The sequence below is a fragment of the Homo sapiens genome, chromosome 10 (assembly GCF_000001405.40).
Source record: "Homo sapiens chromosome 10, GRCh38.p14 Primary Assembly".
Lineage (NCBI taxonomy): Eukaryota > Metazoa > Chordata > Mammalia > Primates > Hominidae > Homo > Homo sapiens.
In genome coordinates, this window is record NC_000010.11 from 25,945,725 (window position 1) to 25,963,790 (window position 18,066).

An 18,066-nucleotide genomic window follows, 5' to 3' on the forward strand; every position below is an offset into this window, starting at 1 on the left:
GTTTAATCCATTTACATTTAAAAGACCAATAGAGAAGAACTTACCATTATCATTTTTTGGTTGTTTTTCGATGTTATAACGTTTTTGTTACTCATTTCCTCTAATACTATCTCCCTTGTATTTAGTGTATATTTTGTAATGACATGTTTTGATTCTTATTTTCTTTGTGGTTACCATGGGGATTATACATAACATCCTGAAATTATAGCAACTTATTTTAAACTGATACCAACTTAACTTGATTGCTTATAAAAATTCTACTGCTTTACAGCCCTGCCCCCACACTTTATGTTATTGATGTCACAAATTACGTTTTATATATTGTATCCCCACTTAACATAGATTTATAAGTATTTTTATGTATTTGTGTTTGAAATTCAAGATAAAAAAAGTGGCATTAACTAAAATTACAATACTACTGGGTTTGATAATTTTCCATGTAATTACTTTTACTGGAGAACTTTACATTTTCATGAGACTTCAAGATATTGTCTAGCATCCATTCATTTCAACCTAAAGGGCTTCATTTAGCATTTCTTGTAGGGCAGATGGAGTGGTAATGAACTCCATCCATTTTTGTTTATCTGGGAACAAAAATTAATTTTTTTTCTCATTTTTGAAGGATAGTTTTCCAGATATAGAATTCTCAGTTGACAGGTTTTTATCTTTCAGCACTTTAAATATATTATCCCTCTGCCTTCTAGCTTGCAAGATTTCTGCTGGGAAATTCACTGATAATCTTGAGAGTCCCTTGTATGTGATAAATTGCTTTTCTCTTGCTGCTTTTAAGTTTCCCTTTTTTTTTTTTTGTCTTTGTCTTTTCACAGCTTGATTATAATGTCTTGGCATGGGTTTCTTTAGATTTGCCTTGCAGGCCAGTTGTGGTGGCTCACACCGGTAATCCCAGCACTGTGGGAGGCCGAGGCGGGTGGATCACGAGGTCAGGAGATCAAGACCATCCTGGCTAACACGGTGAAACCCCATCTCTACTAAAAATACAAAAAATTAGCCGGGCATGGTAGCGGGCACCTGTAATCCCGCTACACGGGAGGCTGAGGCAGGAGAATGGCGTGAACCTGGGAGGTGGAGCTTGCAGTGAGCCAAGATCACACGACTGCACTCTGGCCTGGGTGACAGAGTGAGACTCCGTCTCAAAAAAAAAAAAAAAAAAAAAAAAAAAAAAGATTTGCCTTGCAATTCAGTGAGCCTCTTGGATTTCTAGATGCATGTCTTTCCTTAAATTTGTGAGGTTTTTGGCCATTATTTCTTCAAATAAGCTCTCTTCCCCTTTCTGTTTCTCTTTTCTATCTTGAACTCTCATAATGTATATATTGGTCTTGTTGGTGGCGTTCTATATATCCCTTAGGCTCTGTTTATATTCCTTCGTTCTTTTTTCTTTTTGCCCTTCAGATGATAATTACAAGAAATTTGTCTTCAAGTTCACTGACATTTTCTTCTGCCTATTCAAGTCTGCTCTTGAACTCCTTTAGTAAGATTTTCAATTCAGTTATTTTATTTTTTATATCCAGAATTTCCATTTGGTTCTGTTTAATAAATTTATCTGATTTTGTACAGTCTGTCTTATTATAGATACTTTCACATGTTCCGTCTATCTCTATTCTCTGAAAAAAAATGCATAAGATGGTATTATTTCTTTTCTTTTTCTTTTTTTTTTTTTTTTTTTTTGAGACAGAGTTTTGCTCTTGATACCCAGGCTGGAGTGCAATGGCATGACCTTGGCTCACTGCAACCTCCGCCTCCCGGGTTCAAGCGATTCTCCTGCCTCAGCCTGCTGAGTAGCTGGGATTACAGGGATGCACCACCATGCCCGGCTAATTTTGTATTTTTAGTAGAGACAGGGTTTCTCCATGTTGGTCAGGCTGGTCTCGAACTCCCGACCTCAGGTGATCCACCCACCTCTACCTCCCAAAGTGTTGGGATTACAGGCGTGAGCCACTGCGCCTGGCAAAGATGGTATTATTTCTTTGGAAAATATTTGATAAAATGGGTTGTTGAAATCATTTGAAATTTTTCTATGGACTCTTTTATATTCATTTCTATTTAATATTCACCAAATATTTATGGACTATCTACTATGTGTCAGGCATGGTTTTAAAGTCTTTGAAGTACATCAGTGAAAAAACAGGACAAACATTTCAGGCCTCAAGGGGCTTACATTCTGGTAGTGGAGAAAACAAAACATAATTACAGGAAATTATGTAGAGTGTTAGGAAGTGATAAGTGTTATCAAAATAGAGCAGGGTAAGTGAGACAAGGAGTTGGGAGGCAAGATGGGATGCAGGAAGTAAGACTGGGATTGTAAGTAAGATGATCAGGGTGGGACTTATTGGGGAGGTGATGGCTGATGTAAGACTTGAAGGAAGTGAGGGTGTGAACCATGTCAATATCTGGAGAAAGAGCATTCTAGGCAGAGGGAACACAGATAACCCAATGGGAAACCAGCCCTGCTATGTTTTAGAATGAGCATGAAGCCAGTTTGGTTATTTTATTAAAGAAGAATTAGGTGCATGTTTACAAAAACAAGCAGAATAATTGTTGAGATGAATCTGAAGATCCTGAAGATACGTTTTTCATTGTATTATGATCAACTTTTCTATCTTAAAAAAATCCAAAAGCTCAATATATAATAAATCTATTCAAAAAGATGAGTATTCATTTCAAAAATGTAGCTTTGCTAGTACCTTTTCAGAATTATGGTAAATGCACATATCAAATTATGTTAAATATATATGTTGAAAATAATTATTTGGCTTACATGATCATATAACTAAGAACTTATTTATATGTTTTAATTTTATAGGCTAGAGAATTACTTTTCATTCTTTGCATGCTAAAGTATTAGGGAAAATATATGAACATTCATTTTTATGTCAAATGCAATTTACCATAGTTATTAAGTAATTAGTTGTTTACTAGCTGTGACATTCTATTTCATTCTTAAAGAATAAACAGCTTTGTATGGAAAAAGTGTAGTTTAGCAGTCAAGAGACTTGATTCTAGCCTAATTCTTGAAATTATTTAATGTATTATTTTGAAGCAGTCATTTTAAATGGCTTCATTTTACCTATGTGTTGGGAGTTTTGTTCATTTGCTTTATATGGAACATGACTAGGTGTATTCTGTTTCCAAAATGCCTCTTTTTTGTCATTTTGTGACTTTTTTAAATAATGTTTTACACTATATTGATACACTGCTTTAAATATTTGTCTGATTGAGAACTGTTAAAGAAAAAATTGCATTTTAAACAAATTCCTGCTTATTTTTAGTGTCAGCTCAAATCTTTTCCTGACCACTTCAGAATTTTTTCTGAATCTTTTCCTGGTCAGTTCAGAATAAACTGCTTTTCACCTGGGCTATTACAGCACTTTATGCATATTCTTATTATTTATCACTTTTTATAATATGTTATAGTTACATGTTTATTAATCTATCCATGAGTTTTCTATCTTTGTATTTCCAAAACTCATAAAAATACTTTGCACATATTTGTTGTTCAGTCAATTTTTCATTGAATTCTTATGTCTGTGTATTGAAAAACTAACAGTTAACTCCTGAGAGTTAATATATCAGAAATGAAGACTGTGTTCAGTAACATTACTGCTTGAAAGGCAGTATTCCATGTAATGAATGTTTCTGTTGGTTGACAACTCCTATTTCAGACCTTTAACAAGATTTAATTTGGTTTTTTGGTCTAACGTTTATGTTATAGAGATGGCATAAATGCTTATTTGCATGACTCAAGTAGATGTAAGAAGTAGTGATTTTGTCACTGATTATGAAATTGTTAAAGAGGATGATTATTACTGATTACCTCTTTGCATTTTGGATCAAAGACATGAATTTCATAAGGATTAAGTGTTCTAAGAACTATTCAGAAGTGTGTTTTTATATAGTAATACAATTTTTAGCATGTATTCATAGCCATTTACTCGATAATGTGCCCGTAAGTATAATGAATCAGAATATGCTCTTTATTGTGTTTTGGATTTTCACGTTCTTTTCAGTTCTCCCTAAACCTTATTTCGCTTCCTAACTTAAAAAAAGTATTTTTCGAAGAACCCTATTCATTTATTTATTCAACAGCTATATATTTAACATTTACCGTATTTTCTAGGTACAGAGTAAGGCCAAATCTATTATTAGATTTGGAAGTGAACAAAATAGATTAGGTCTCTGCTGTCAGAATTAACAATGAACAAATAAACATTTGCCCATTTAGTCAATATTTATTGATTGCCTACCATGTACTAGGCATTGTTTTCGGAATTGTGGATACAGTCATAAAATAACAAAGCCCATACCCTCATGTAGCTTACATTCTAATGAAAGAATAACAGGATAAGTGGAGAAGGCTAACTTCATAAAGGTTGGTCAGGGAGGGCCTTTCTAAGAAATTGACATTTGAACTGAGATCTACAGGACAAGAAGGAACCAAAGGAAAAGGCTATTTGAGGACAAACAGCAGTTACCCCGGCTAGCAATGAACTTACTATGTTTGATGCACATTGGTTTGTAGCTTTTGAGGTCAGAATATTAAGGATTTATTATTCCTTCCATTTTTTTCAATAAATTATGAAGTACAGGCATCACTTGTAAAATTTGGTAGGAGAAGGTAAACAGCAAAGAGGGAACAATTTGTAGAGAGACAAATTTGAGGAAAGATATCACTTTGAAATAGTAATTCCAGAGAACAGGGAATATACAAACAACAGAAGTGCAGTAGGGTTGCTGGGCAGAGTTGAGAGTTTACTTGTCAATGTGTTATCCTGAATTTTAAGTGAAACTAGTCAACATGGTTGTATGGTTTTCTCAGTTATGGGCACAGATGTGAAGAAGATGTAGTATTTAACCAGAGTTGTTTTCACCCTCCAGGAGAATATGATGGAAAAAGGGAGGAACAAGAGTGTTTAGGGCCTTTGTAAAGACGTCACAATAATACAAGGCTTAGAGTCTATCCTGAGGAAGGAGAAATGAGTAGGGAGTGAAAAATTAAGAGGGCTGATGGGCTTAAAGAAAGTTAAAGATCAGTGGATTGGTGATGTGAATAAAGGTGAAAGTTGTGAGTGTGGCCAGACAAGTGAATTTCATGGGCTAATATGGAATATTAATTTATATTGAAAAGAGTGTGGTTTGTATAGATAATTGAAATAATGTGAGGGCTACCAGAAGTGCTAAGAACACTTTCCTTTCTTTTATTATTCTCACCCTTTTTTGTAGTTTTATAGAAATGATATAATATAGGGAGAATATAGAAAAGAGCATTACTTGGAAGAAAACATAAAATGTCCTTTATAAAGTCACTTGATCTCACTGACCTATTCTTTTAATTAATTGACAAATCAATTAATTATTTCAGCAGTGTGCCAGGTATTGGACATACAGTAATGATATCAGATACATAAATGCTATCTGATTTATAATCACAATAACGGTACCAGTGGTGATATAGGATAGTGATATTATTGATAATATTGATAATGATATCAATAAATGGTCTCATTGGCCATATTCTTTAATTAATTAATCAGTCAATCATTTCAGCCCTGTGCAGTTGCTGCACATACAGTAATGATGTCAGATAACAGCAGCGTAGAGTGCTGCTGGAGTACCGAGGTGGTGCATGCAACCCAGATGGGGTGGAGAGTAGTCACACTTGTATGAAGTGGTCTCTAAGCTGAGGTCTGAAAGATTAGTAGGTTTTGCAATTTAGCAAAGAAGCCACAGGCAGAGGGGGTCAGGAATAGTGTATATTAAAGTCCTCAAGAAAGAAATGCCTTGAGGTATAAATAGCTGAATCATAGTATATGAGAGAAGAGGCTGGAACATTAAGCAAAGGCCATATTTTAAAGAATTTGGTAGGTTATGTTAAGGAAATTCCATCCTAAAAGCCATGTTAGAGGACCCATTATTGAGTTTTGCATAGAGAAGTGACATAAAACGTGATCACTTATAAAATGCAAGATCTGCTTAAATGAGGAAGTTGAATTTTATCTTCTCTAAGGTTCATTCTAAAATTATTTGATTTGTTGTGATACATGAGTATAAAGAAGAAAATCAAAATTATATAAATATGCCTCTTATTTTAATCTAAAAAGAATTAACAGCAATTAATAAGAGACTAGATTGGACATAGAAATAAAGCCCTGCTTACAAAGCATTATTAAATTCATATTAATGTTTGCAAATGAGAATTGAAATTCAAATTTCCTGTGACTCTGAAATATGTTTGGTTGCTGTTGAATATTTTCTATCATATCAGTGAAAATATTCGCTAATTTCCCATGGGTTTGTGTGTGCCATTTGATATCCTCAATCAACTGTAGATGAAACTGTACTTCTTATCTCCAGGTTTTTAAACCTTTGAGATGTTTCCATTAATTGGAAAAACAATCATCTTTGATAACTTTCCTGATCCTTCTGATACATGGGAAATCACTGAGACAATTGGCAAAGGAACTTATGGGAAAGTTTTTAAAGTATTGAATAAGAAAAATGGCCAAAAAGCAGCAGTCAAAATTCTTGATCCAATTCACGTAAGTCATATTTTTTCCTTCTAATTAGCTTTATTTTTATCTGTATGAAACACTTAAAAAGACTGTATTTTATCTTGATTTATTCATCACAATAGCAGTCTAAAACAGGTTACAATTTGAAGATAAATGTAAAAGAGAAGTCTACTTATTTGCTTTTCCAAATTTCTGTGCTTAGTATATGTAATAAGGCACAATAAGTACTTGATGAATAAATGCATAAGCACGCAAAAATGCAGCTCTCAACCGACGATATTATTAAAGTTGACTGAATGTTATTTTAGACATGAAAAATTGTAAAGATACAAACTCAGGGGTCTAGAAGTAATCCTGAAATGGCATCTTAACCATATCTTCTTTTCGTCCTGTGTTTATTTAGGCTTCAGGAGGTATTTCTCTTAGGCCAAACTAAAGAAGACTTTTTAAAATGAAATTTATTTCAGAGAAAGAAAATTAATTTTCAGGTTTGCTTAAATGTTTCCAAAGCAGACATGGTGTGGATTTATAATCAGGGCAAAGTTCCTTATTGTGAAGAATTAAATTTCATGTTCAGCTCTGCTAGTCTCTGCTTACAGGAGGCCACAATGGGGGCCCCATTTGCTTTTTTTTTTTTTTTTAAGTAGCAGTTGTGATAAGCGAAACTGCCAAACCTTTTCTCTGTTGTTAAGAGCATGAGACTACTGAGATTCTATCTTCTGGTAATGAGAGCTGGCAGTTTCAGAATATCTTCAGGTTGCTGGGAGACACCTTTCTCTCCCATAGCACATGGGAGAGCCAGAATGAGCTCAGTAATCAGATGCTCCCCAAACATCTATTGAAAGCAACTGCTCCAATTAACAGACTCTTGCACACATGATGGGAGCATGGCATGATGAAAATGATGTAATGTGTATAGAGAGGACATCAGAGTGCTAGGTCCTTGTTACACTCATCTACTAACTGTGAGATGCTGCAAAAGGTCTCTGAGTCTCCATTTGTTCGTCTTAGGGTTGCTGTTTCTTTTTTTATTTTTATTTTTTGATAGTTTATTTCTGCTAAACCCATTATAACTACACTCTTCCATATTATTTTGAGCAGAGGAGAAAGGTAGGGGAGGTTTATTTTAAAGCAATAAATTAAATAAATACACTGGAGGAAAAAAAATGAGACTCAGTATGCCCAGGCTTAACTGTTGCTGAATGTCTTCACATTCTCTTGGAAACTTCTAAGCATTTAAACTGAAGGAACAGAGGTACAAGTTAAGTTCTACCAAAGTGACTATACCTCTCTTTCCTGTAGCCTTTGCATTAGGGATTCAGGTGTGTGGCAGCAAGAGAAAGAAATTCAGCCCAATCCCATTGTCTGGCCCCATAGTGTATCTCTTTCTCTTCCTTCTTAATGGAGAACAAATGGCTTATAATCCATGTAACGACTATTCTTTCATAATTTACTCACATATGGTATACCTACAAGCCTTATAAGTCCCCCCTATTTAGTATAATTTAATGAAATATTGATTTCATGACTATTAAGCTTAATTTATCCTTTTGCTTTCATTCTTGTCACAGTACATATACATTTTTCTAAGAATTATTTATTTACTCTTCATCATGTCACAAGTCAAATAAAAAAGATTTATAACCAAGAGATTATAATCTTAAATAAATTTAAATGCATCCAAACATCTTGCAAAGATTTGCTTATTTTAAATTAAAGGAGTCTTACTCTTACATATTTTTAATCAGTCATTTTCTTTTCAAGAGAGGAGTTGAATGAGTAAGATGAGAAGGTAGCAGGCTCGGAGTCTATATCTGGATTTTACAGTAACCAGCTCTGACTTCAACTTCTCAGGGCTTAACTTTATGCCTTTAAAATTAGAGCTCAGATTTAAATTTCTACCTCTATGATTCCATGATTCTATAATAAAACAACATAGGCATTAAATGTCACTGTAAAAGCAGTATTAATAAGGCTTTCTCTTATTTATTGCTGTATGAATTGTTTCATATATATGCGATTTTCTAGAAATATGTCTAAGTGGCTGTCTTTCATTCTGATTGATAAGATAGCAACCTGTTCTTCTTTTGGTGAATGGACCTTTAGATCACTAAAGGTTTTGTGCAATCTTTTATAACTTAACTCTATTTGAGTTTTTTGGAAAAGTGGGAATTTATTGTTTGTATGACTGATTTTTGGATAGCTTCTAAATATCCTATTTTCCAAAGAAACAAAATGAACCAGATTTCCAGTCCTAAAATTTATTATTTCAGGTCAATGGCTTTGCCCTTGTAACAAAGTTAATAATACAAAAAAGCAAAATCATCTGGAGTAGCTCTCCATAGATGTTTACTTATAATTGCAAATAAAAATAACATTTTATTTATCCATTTTAAAATTTGATGAAATTAATATAACTTGAGATTCACTTGATTAGCATGAAAATCACAATCTCTCCCCTTAAATTATGTAATGAGAAATTACAATACATAATACTAAGCACAGTAAAAACTATTATGACCTTGACATAATGAAATTCTGTATTTGGTATTCTATAATCTGTTTCTTTGACATTACTCATGGTTTTCTCACAGTTCTATTCTTATGACTTTTTGAAACTAGGATATTGACGAAGAGATTGAAGCAGAATATAACATCTTAAAAGCACTTTCTGACCACCCTAATGTGGTCAGATTCTATGGGATATACTTTAAGAAGGATAAAGTAAATGGAGACAAGCTGTGGTTGGTTCTTGAGGTAAGTGTGTCAGCATCATTTGTATGGGTGGAAACTTAGAGTGTGGTTCTGAAATGACTTGTTATACTATTTATGTAACATTGATATCATAAAAACAGTTCTGATAAGTTCCTGACCAGCCATGAATGTTGTGCCTAGTTTTGGCCTTGCCTTCTTAAGAAACATCAAAAAATTGAAGGAAAGCCACAAAGACTAGTAAATATTAAAAAGAAATGACTCCACAATAAAAGACCAAATAAACTGAGATTATTTTTCCCACAGAAAAATTAAAAGGGATTTCATTATATTTATTTATTCATCTGTATTTTGTTTCATTAACATGTGATAAGCCTCTGTGCCAGGTGCTAGGATATAAGAAAAAATTAATGTTAAGTTGAGGCTTCATTAGACAAAAATAGTGAGCTATGATTTTCTTTTTCTGTCTTTATTGAATGCTAATGACTTGAGCTACAGAACCAGATATTTATATTTACAGGGAAGAAAACTTACTTAAAATGGTGTCGATACTGAGTAAGTTGCTAAAGGAAAGCTGTAGTGTCTGCCCTTTCCAATCCTGAGAGTAGTTTTTCTTACACTTAAGCAATCCTCTCTAAGGCAGGAGTACTAGCAGCTCCTGCACTAAGGTGACTGTCAGTCCCAGAATAATTCCATTTTTCTGATTTTCATTGAACATTATTCAAGTGTGGTAAACATTATTTCTAATAAAATCTATTAGAATTTTTTAAATTGCTTTTATCAAATTCAGAGACAGTAGATACCTTTATTTGACAGCTATAACAGCATATATTTATTGTGTTCATCATTGTTTTATTAGCATTTGAGTATTTTATTTCTTTTTGAATGTTTCATTGCTTTTCCTGAAGTGGCATTGTCTTAGTCTGTTTGTGCTGCTATAACAAAAATCCACACACTAGGTAATTCATACAGAATAGAAACTTATTCCTCACAGTTTTGGAGGCTGGAAGTCCAAGATCCAGGAACCAGCAGGTTCACTTGTCTGGTGAGGCCTGTTCACTTCCAAGATGGCACCTTGTTGCTACATGCTCTGGAGAGAAGAAACGCTGTGTTCTCACATGGCAGAAGGCAGAAGGCAAGAGAGCCCAACACTGTGTGGAGCGTCTTTTTAATAAGGATCTTAAAACCGCATTCATGAGGAAGATGCCTTCATGGCCTAATTACCTCTTAAAGGTCCCACCTCTTAACAATATCACTTTCACCATTAAGTTTCAACACATGAATTTTGGAGGGGACACAGCCAAAGTGTAATAGGCACAATAATCATATATAAATTATATTAAGACTTTATATTCATATTTTTCTATTATGGTTTTTTTTTTTTTGAAATGGAGTCTTGCTTTGTTGCCCAGGCTGGAGTGCAGTGGCACAATCTCAGCTCACTGCAACAGCCTCCTGAGTTCAAGTGATTCTCGAGCCTCAGCCTCACAAGTAGCTGGGATTACAGTCACATGCCACCATGCCCAGCTAAATTTTTTTTTTTTTTTTTTTTGTATTTTTAGTAGAGACAGTGTTTCACTGTGTTGGCCAGTCTGGTCTCAAACTCCTGATCTCAAGTGATCCACCTATCTCGACCTCCTAAAGTGCCTGGTCTCCATTATGGTTTTTAAATGATTCTACAAATAATAGATGATCATTGTAGAAAATATTTGATCCTATTAAAAAATTCTTAATATTTAACATATTTGCTTCATTTTTGTATGTTTTTTTCTTTTTTTCCTTTTAAAAAATTTTAAGTACAGGAGTACATTTGCAGGTTTGTTATATAGGTAAACTTGTGTCACAGGGTTTGTTGTACAGATTATTTCATCACCAAGGTGTTAAGCCTAGTTCCCATTAGTTATTTTTCCTGATCCTCACCATCTTCCCACCCTCTACCATCAGGTATCTGTTGTCCCTCTCTATGTGTCCATGTGTTCTCATAATTTAGCTCCACTTATAGGTGAGAACATGTGACATTTGATTTTCTCTTCCTGCATTAGTTTGCTAAGGATAATAGCCTCTGGCTCCAATCATGTTCCTGCAAAGGACATGATCTCAGTCTTTTTTATGGCTGCATAGTATTTCACAATGTATATGTACCACATTTTCTTTATTCAGTCTGCCATTGATGTGCATTGATAAGGTTTGGCTGTGTCCCCACCCAAACCTCATCTTGAATTCCCATGTGTTGTGGAAGGGACCCAGTGGGAAGTAACTGAATCGTGGGGGCAGGTCTTTCCTATGGTATTCTCATGATAGTGAATAAGTCTGATGAGATCTGATGGTTTTATAAGGGGAAAATTTCCCTGCATAAGCTCTCTCCTTGCCTGCTGACATCCATGTAAGATGTGACTTGCTCCCCATTGCCTTCCACCATGATTGTGAGGCCTCCCCAGCCGTGTGGAACCATAAGTCCTTTAAACCTTTCTTTTGTAAATTGTCCAGTCTCGTGTATGTCTTTATCAGCAGTGTGAAAATGGACTAATACAGGCATGTAGGTTGATTTCATGTTTTTGCTATTGTGAATAGTGTTGCAATGAACATACATGTGTCTGTGTCTTTGTGGTAGAACAATTTCTATTCCTTTGGGTATATACCCAGTAATGCAATAGATAGCTGGGTTTCATGGTAGTTCTGTTTTTAGTTCTTTGAGGAATCATCACACTGTTTTCCACAATGGCTAAACTAATTTACAATCTCACCAGCAGCATATAAGCATTCTCTTTTCTCTGAAACCTCACCAATATCTGTTATTTTTTGACTTTTTAAAAATAGCTATTCTGACTGGTGTGAGACGGTATCTCATTGTGTTTTGATTTTCATATCTCTAATGATCAGTGATGTTGAGCTTTTTTCATATGCTATTGGCTACATGTATATCTTCTTTTGAAAAGTATCTGTTCATTTTCTTTGCCCACTTTTAATGAGGTTGTTTGTTTTTTCCTTCTAAATATAAGTTCCTTACAGATGCTGGATATTAGACCTTTGTCAGATGCATCGTTTGTAAACATTTTCTCCTATTCTGTAGGCTGTCTCTTTACTCTGTTGATGGTTTCTTTTGCTATACAGAAGCTCTTTAGTTTAATAAGATTTCATTGGTCAAGTTTTGCTTTTGTTGGTATTGCTTTTGGAGTCTTCATCATGAAATCTTTGCTGGTTCCTATGTCCAGAATGGATGGTATTGCCTAGATTGTCTTGCAAGGTTTTTATAGTTTTGGGTTTTACAGTTAAGTCTTTAATCTATCTTGAGTTGATATTTGTATATAGTGTAAGGAAGGGATTCAGTTTCAATCTTCTGCATATGGTTAGCCAGTTATCCCAGCACCATTTATTGAATAGGGAATCCTTTCCCCATTGGTTGTTTTTGTCAGCTTTGTCAAAGTTCAGATAGTTTTAAGTGTGTAGACTTATTTCTGGGCTCTCTGTTCTGTTCCATTGGTCCATGTATCTGTTTTTGAAACAGTACCATGCTGTTTTGTTTACTGTAGCCCTGTAGTATAGTTTGAAGTTGGGTAGTGTAATGCCTCCAGCTTTGTTTTTTTGCTTAGGATTGCCTTGGCTATTCAGGTTCCTTTTTGGTTCCACATGAATTTTAAAATAGTTTTTTTCTAGTTCTGTGAAGAATGTCATTGGTAGTTTGATAAGAATAGCATTGAATCTATAAATTGCTTTGGGGAAGTATGGCCATTTAAATGACATTGATTCTTCCTATCCATGAGCATGGAATGTTTTTCCATTTGTTTGTCATATGATTTCTTTGAGCAATGTTTTGCAGTTTTCATTGTGGAGATCTTTCACCTCCCTGGTTAGCTGTATTCCTAGGTATTTTATTCATTTTGTGGCAATTTTAAATGGGATTGTTTTTATCTGGCTTTCACCTCCCTGGTTAGCTGTATTCCTAGGTATTTTATTCATTTTGTGGCAATTTTAAGTGGGATTGTTTTTTATCTGGCTCTCAGTTTGACTGTTTTTGGTGTATAGGAATGCTAGTGATTTTTGTACGTAGATTTTGTATCTTGAGATCTTGCTGAAGTTGTTTATCAGCTTAAGGAGTTTTGGGGCCAAGACCATGGAATTTTCTAGATATAGAATCATGTCGTCTGCAAACAGGGATTGTTTGCCTTCCTGTCTTCCTATTTGGATGCCCTTTATTTCTTTCTCTTGCCTGATTACTCTGGCTAGGACTTCCAATACTATGTTGAATAGGAGTGTATGTTTTTTGTATGTTTAAATTTGTTGACAACATTACTTATGAAATTATCCTATATTCTTACTTAATGTAACTTCAGATAGTTTTAATCATTGTTATGTTTTTCAAAGTAAATACATTCACTTGAGTAATAAAAAACATAGTTTCAAAGGGTTGATGAGATAAAGCAATAAAAACATAGACCCAGTTTAGTGGTGCCACCTTCTCCTGAGCAGTCCACACTTTTGATTTGTTGTGATTGCTATACCTAGAAGAATGGCTGAGCTTCTACACTGCCTCATTTAGTAATCCATGTTCTTAATTTTGGCAATATTGTTCATTACACTTTTGGAGCGCTTCATCTGCCCAGTCTTGTTTGGAGACCTACCATGTGTCTGACCTCTTTGATATCTCTCTGCTGCCCACCTTGATGGAACCACTGGTTCCTGGATCCCTTGGCCTCCTCTTTTCAAGTTTCTTTCTCTGTTTGGCTCATCATGTAGTAATTTGTGCCTCTCCCAGATTACCCATTTTGCTGATGTCACCAAATCTTGAATCCCTCCAGTTCAGTGTCAGCAGGGAACAAAATTTCCAGTCTCTTAACCTGGGTGTGTGTGTGTGTGTGTGTGTGTGTCTGTGTGTGTACTGCTCAGGCAGGCTTCTGAATGTTGATATTTTGCATATGTGATAAGAGGGTTTCGAGTCTTTTGATTAAAGACTTCCAAATGACCCCTTGCTTTTTGCCCTGCTCCCCTCAACTGCTTCTCCACCTCTACTATTCCCTAGCACTATCTGGGTTAATCTGTTCAGGTGACCGCAAAAGAACCACACAAAGGATCTTAGTTTGTGGCTTCCTCTGCACTGCTAAATCAGTTACTGCTTGCTTATCTGCTTTCCATATTGCAAAATTTATTGAATTTTTTTGCTCAGTGTTCTCCTTTTTTCTGTCCTCTTTTTCTTTGTGGTTATAATTGTTTATTCCTTTACTAGTGTTTTAATGGAGATTCATGAGTAAGAGGAAATAAATTTATATATTTCATTTGCCAACTTTATGCTCTGGAGCCTTTCAAAATGTATAATAGTATTTTCAAAAATCTTTCATCATCTGATGCTGTATATTATTTTACAAAATTAAATAGCCATGTATGTTCTTTAAAAATAGACAATTTATCTATGATTTCAATATTACAGTTGACCCTAACTTTTAATTGTTAGGGATGACAATCTCCCATGCACTGAAAAATCGAAGTGTAAATTTTGACTCCCCTAAAACTTAACTACTAATAGTCTACTGTTGACCAGAAGCCTTACTGATAACATAAACAGTCAATTAATGCATATTTTTATGTCATATGTATTATATACTGTATTCTTACAATAAAATAAGCTATAGAAAAGAAAATGTTATTAAGAAAATCATGAGGAAGAGCAAATATTTTTACTGTTCATTAAGTGGAAGTGGATCATCATAAAGGTCTTTGTCCTCATCATCTTCACATTGAATAGTCTGAGGAGGAGGAAGAAAAGGAGAGGATGATCTTGCTGTCTCAGGAGTGGCACAGGTTGAAGAAAATTAGAGGATGGTCTTGCTGTCTCAGGGTTGGCACAGGTGGAAGAAAATTAACATGTAAGTGGACCCACAGAGTTCAAACCCTTGTTGTTTAAGGGTCAACTGCATTTTTTATTTCTCTAGTTTGAGATAGGTTTGTATTTTTAGCAAAATCACATATAAAAGCAAAGCTAAACTTTTACTCATCTAAGCTTAGTTACCAAATAATAGAATATAAATTATGAACCTAAACCATTTTGCCTTACATTAATGGATAATTTTAGAGTTTAATTCTTGTTTGTGTTTGCATATTTGAGAAGTACTGCTGTACATAATCCTTGATGTAATCTTGAATATAATTTTTGTTTATATCCTTCAAAACATTTTCGATAATGAATTTTTAATTTTTCTTCCATGTATAGAATCATTGGCAGATGTGCATTTAAGTGGAGATTCAGGTATTCTGTCTAATATTGGCCTAAATGGCCAACAAAATAAGGTGTAAATCTTTTCCCAGGGCTTAAAAATATTGAATGAGATCATTCATTGTTATTATGCCTATTAAATCCCTATTCTAATATCTTGGCATTTCTCACCTGGAATTAGGAGACAGTTGGAAACTCCTGATATTAGTTAAATGTTTTTTGAGAGAGCAGATTGATTAAAATGAGTTGGATTGATTAAAATGTTTTGGGAATATCTTATAAGTAAAGCAACATCCAGATATAATGAATCAGTAGAGTCGCTACAATTTATTTGAATTTTGTCCTTATAATTTATTATCAGATGGAGATATTGGAAATATCTCTAAATGACTTTGGAAAAAAAGAATAAATTTAGTTTAATAAAATGGTATTTCCAAAATCTGATCTACTTGAATTTACAAAGTGGAGGGAAAAAAAAGGCTAAGGAAAGCAAGAAGTTGGCAAACTGTATATAAGATAATTGATTTGCATATGTAAATTAGACTAATCACATATACACATAAGTGGCTAGATGTACAATTACCTGATTTATAAACATGAATGGTGCAGGTGCTGCTTTAGAGGCACTTTCAGAAAATTGGCTTGTGGCATCAATGCTTTGTAGTACAACATGACTGCTAATTATACCTTTCATTGTAATAAAGTCCATTTAAATTATTTTGCATGAGGGTACCAAAAGAGGGGCAGTGGCTGTAATGTTACCCAGAGAATCATGTTAACAGTGCTAGGCTTTTAATGTGAATCTACATACAGAAGGTGAGTACTGGAGGGGATGTATCAGAGCAATGAGTTACTGTCCTCATTCTAAGCCTGGTGTGTGTGGATGGCCATACTAGCCTAGAGAAACTCCTGTGAGATGCTTTTCACAACGAAAAATCACTTTACTTATATTTCAATCCAGAGTTGAAATCCTAAGAATAATGATGTGCCAGATCTTGCTGGGCAGTCTGTTTTCTCTAGTTACAATTTTAAAATTATTTCTTTTGCTTTCTGATATGATTTTTCTCTTTTATTTATTTTACCCTCATTTGTTATTTTATAAGTTTTTGAGCATGAATGATATACAAGGACTCTGTTTAGGAGTTATTTTCATCTTAATTCTCTGCATGTTTATTTTGAGAATCTAAATGGTACCTAGGTTTAGTAAAAGGGCACTAGTTGCTGGCCCTCTGAAATTCCAGTTATACACTTGAATGAAGTTTTATGCTGTGGAAACTAATTTAGTTTTTTATAGAACATCTACGGGGAGTTTTGTTGTCATTCAATATTTTAGGTTTTCCTAATGATGTAGACATAAAGGGAGAACCAATGTTTTCTGTTTGTTTCTACCTATGCCTCATTTTGAAATACCTTATGTATATTCCTTTCTGCCTGTTGCTATCACATCTCTTGACTGACTTGTTTAGTGAGATGTAAATACTTCTTTTGACTTTGCACTGCCTTTTACCCCTGATATCTACTGTTGGGGATCAGTATCAAGCGTGGAGGGGAGCTGGGAAGATGAGGACTCGGGTAGGATTCTTCAAATGCTTCCTACCTGAACCGGGAGACCGTAAAACAGAATCAAAATTGAGTTAAATCAGTCTCATATAAGGCATTTGCTATTGATGGACACAAAGGGGAGAACTGAGATTTAATTGTAATTTTCCCCTTCTTGGTTGGATGAACAACCACATTTTAAGTAGGTAAGGAAATCTGGGCTTCTCTCTCAGGAGCTGTTTGCTTAGTGTGCCTTCAGCCATAATGAATCCAAAATTCAGAGTTAGGACATCTTTCTGTTAAAAGACCCTTTCCCTCATAATCCAATCTTAGCTATAATTGCTCCTTTCACAGTGGTGCTACAGACTACATTCTATTATTCATTTGAATTGGTCCTGATTTGTTCATTCATAATAGTGACATTGCTTTTTCTCATTGCTCCCCAATTATAGCAATTTTTCTCTTTGAAATTATATCCTTTTCAGGAGACTAAAGACTGCCAATTACAGGTGGTATTTCAAAGCACGAAAATTCAGTAAATAGTCATAAAGCCTCTCAAATGCACATTTTCGGTCATCAAAGTGGTTTTTATAGACATAAATACTACTTTCATGTGTCATGCATTATTGGTTGTTCTGTTTTTATACTTACATCTAGTTAGTAATATCAGGCCTGCCTTGAGGAAAGGAAACATGGAATGATAGAAAGAAGATAAGTTAGAATGAATGTGAGCTTTCTGTTTGTTCAGCTATTAACCCTTTAATGCTACTGCCCTGGAGGATAACATGTACACAGAAGGGAATATAAAGCCTTTGCGGACTTGTATATTTGTGAGGGGTCAGGAGAAACAGGGCAGGAGTGAGGAACTGGGCTGCTGAGTTACTTAGATGGCACAGAATTGTTCCTTCTTCCCTTTGGCAGTTCACAATTGCAGTGGAGTAGCAGACTCACAGTGTGATTCCTTTCATGTTCTTAAGGCTGGAACCACCATTCCCACCTCTCATGTAAAAGGCTATTATTTGGTGTACTTGCAGTAGAACAGACAGCCAATTACCTAGAGTTGTTTCATTTTTTGTTTGTTTA

General features: G+C 34.6%; 1 protein-coding gene across 21 annotated transcripts in view; it reads left to right on the forward strand.

Annotated features, from left to right (window-relative positions):
- MYO3A (myosin IIIA) overlaps window positions 1–18,066 on the forward strand; it is a 278,304-nt gene that overhangs the window by 11,496 nt on the left and 248,742 nt on the right. For all 21 annotated transcript variants that reach the window (XR_930494.1, XM_011519498.3, XM_011519500.3 and 18 more), the window contains 2 exons: window positions 6,370–6,554; window positions 9,150–9,284. Coding sequence is in view for 20 of the 21 variants with exons in the window: in XM_011519498.3 (XP_011517800.1) it covers window positions 6,387–6,554; window positions 9,150–9,284 (303 nt within the window). In the remaining variant the exon portion in view is untranslated. The remainder of the gene's footprint in view (window positions 1–6,369; window positions 6,555–9,149; window positions 9,285–18,066) is intronic.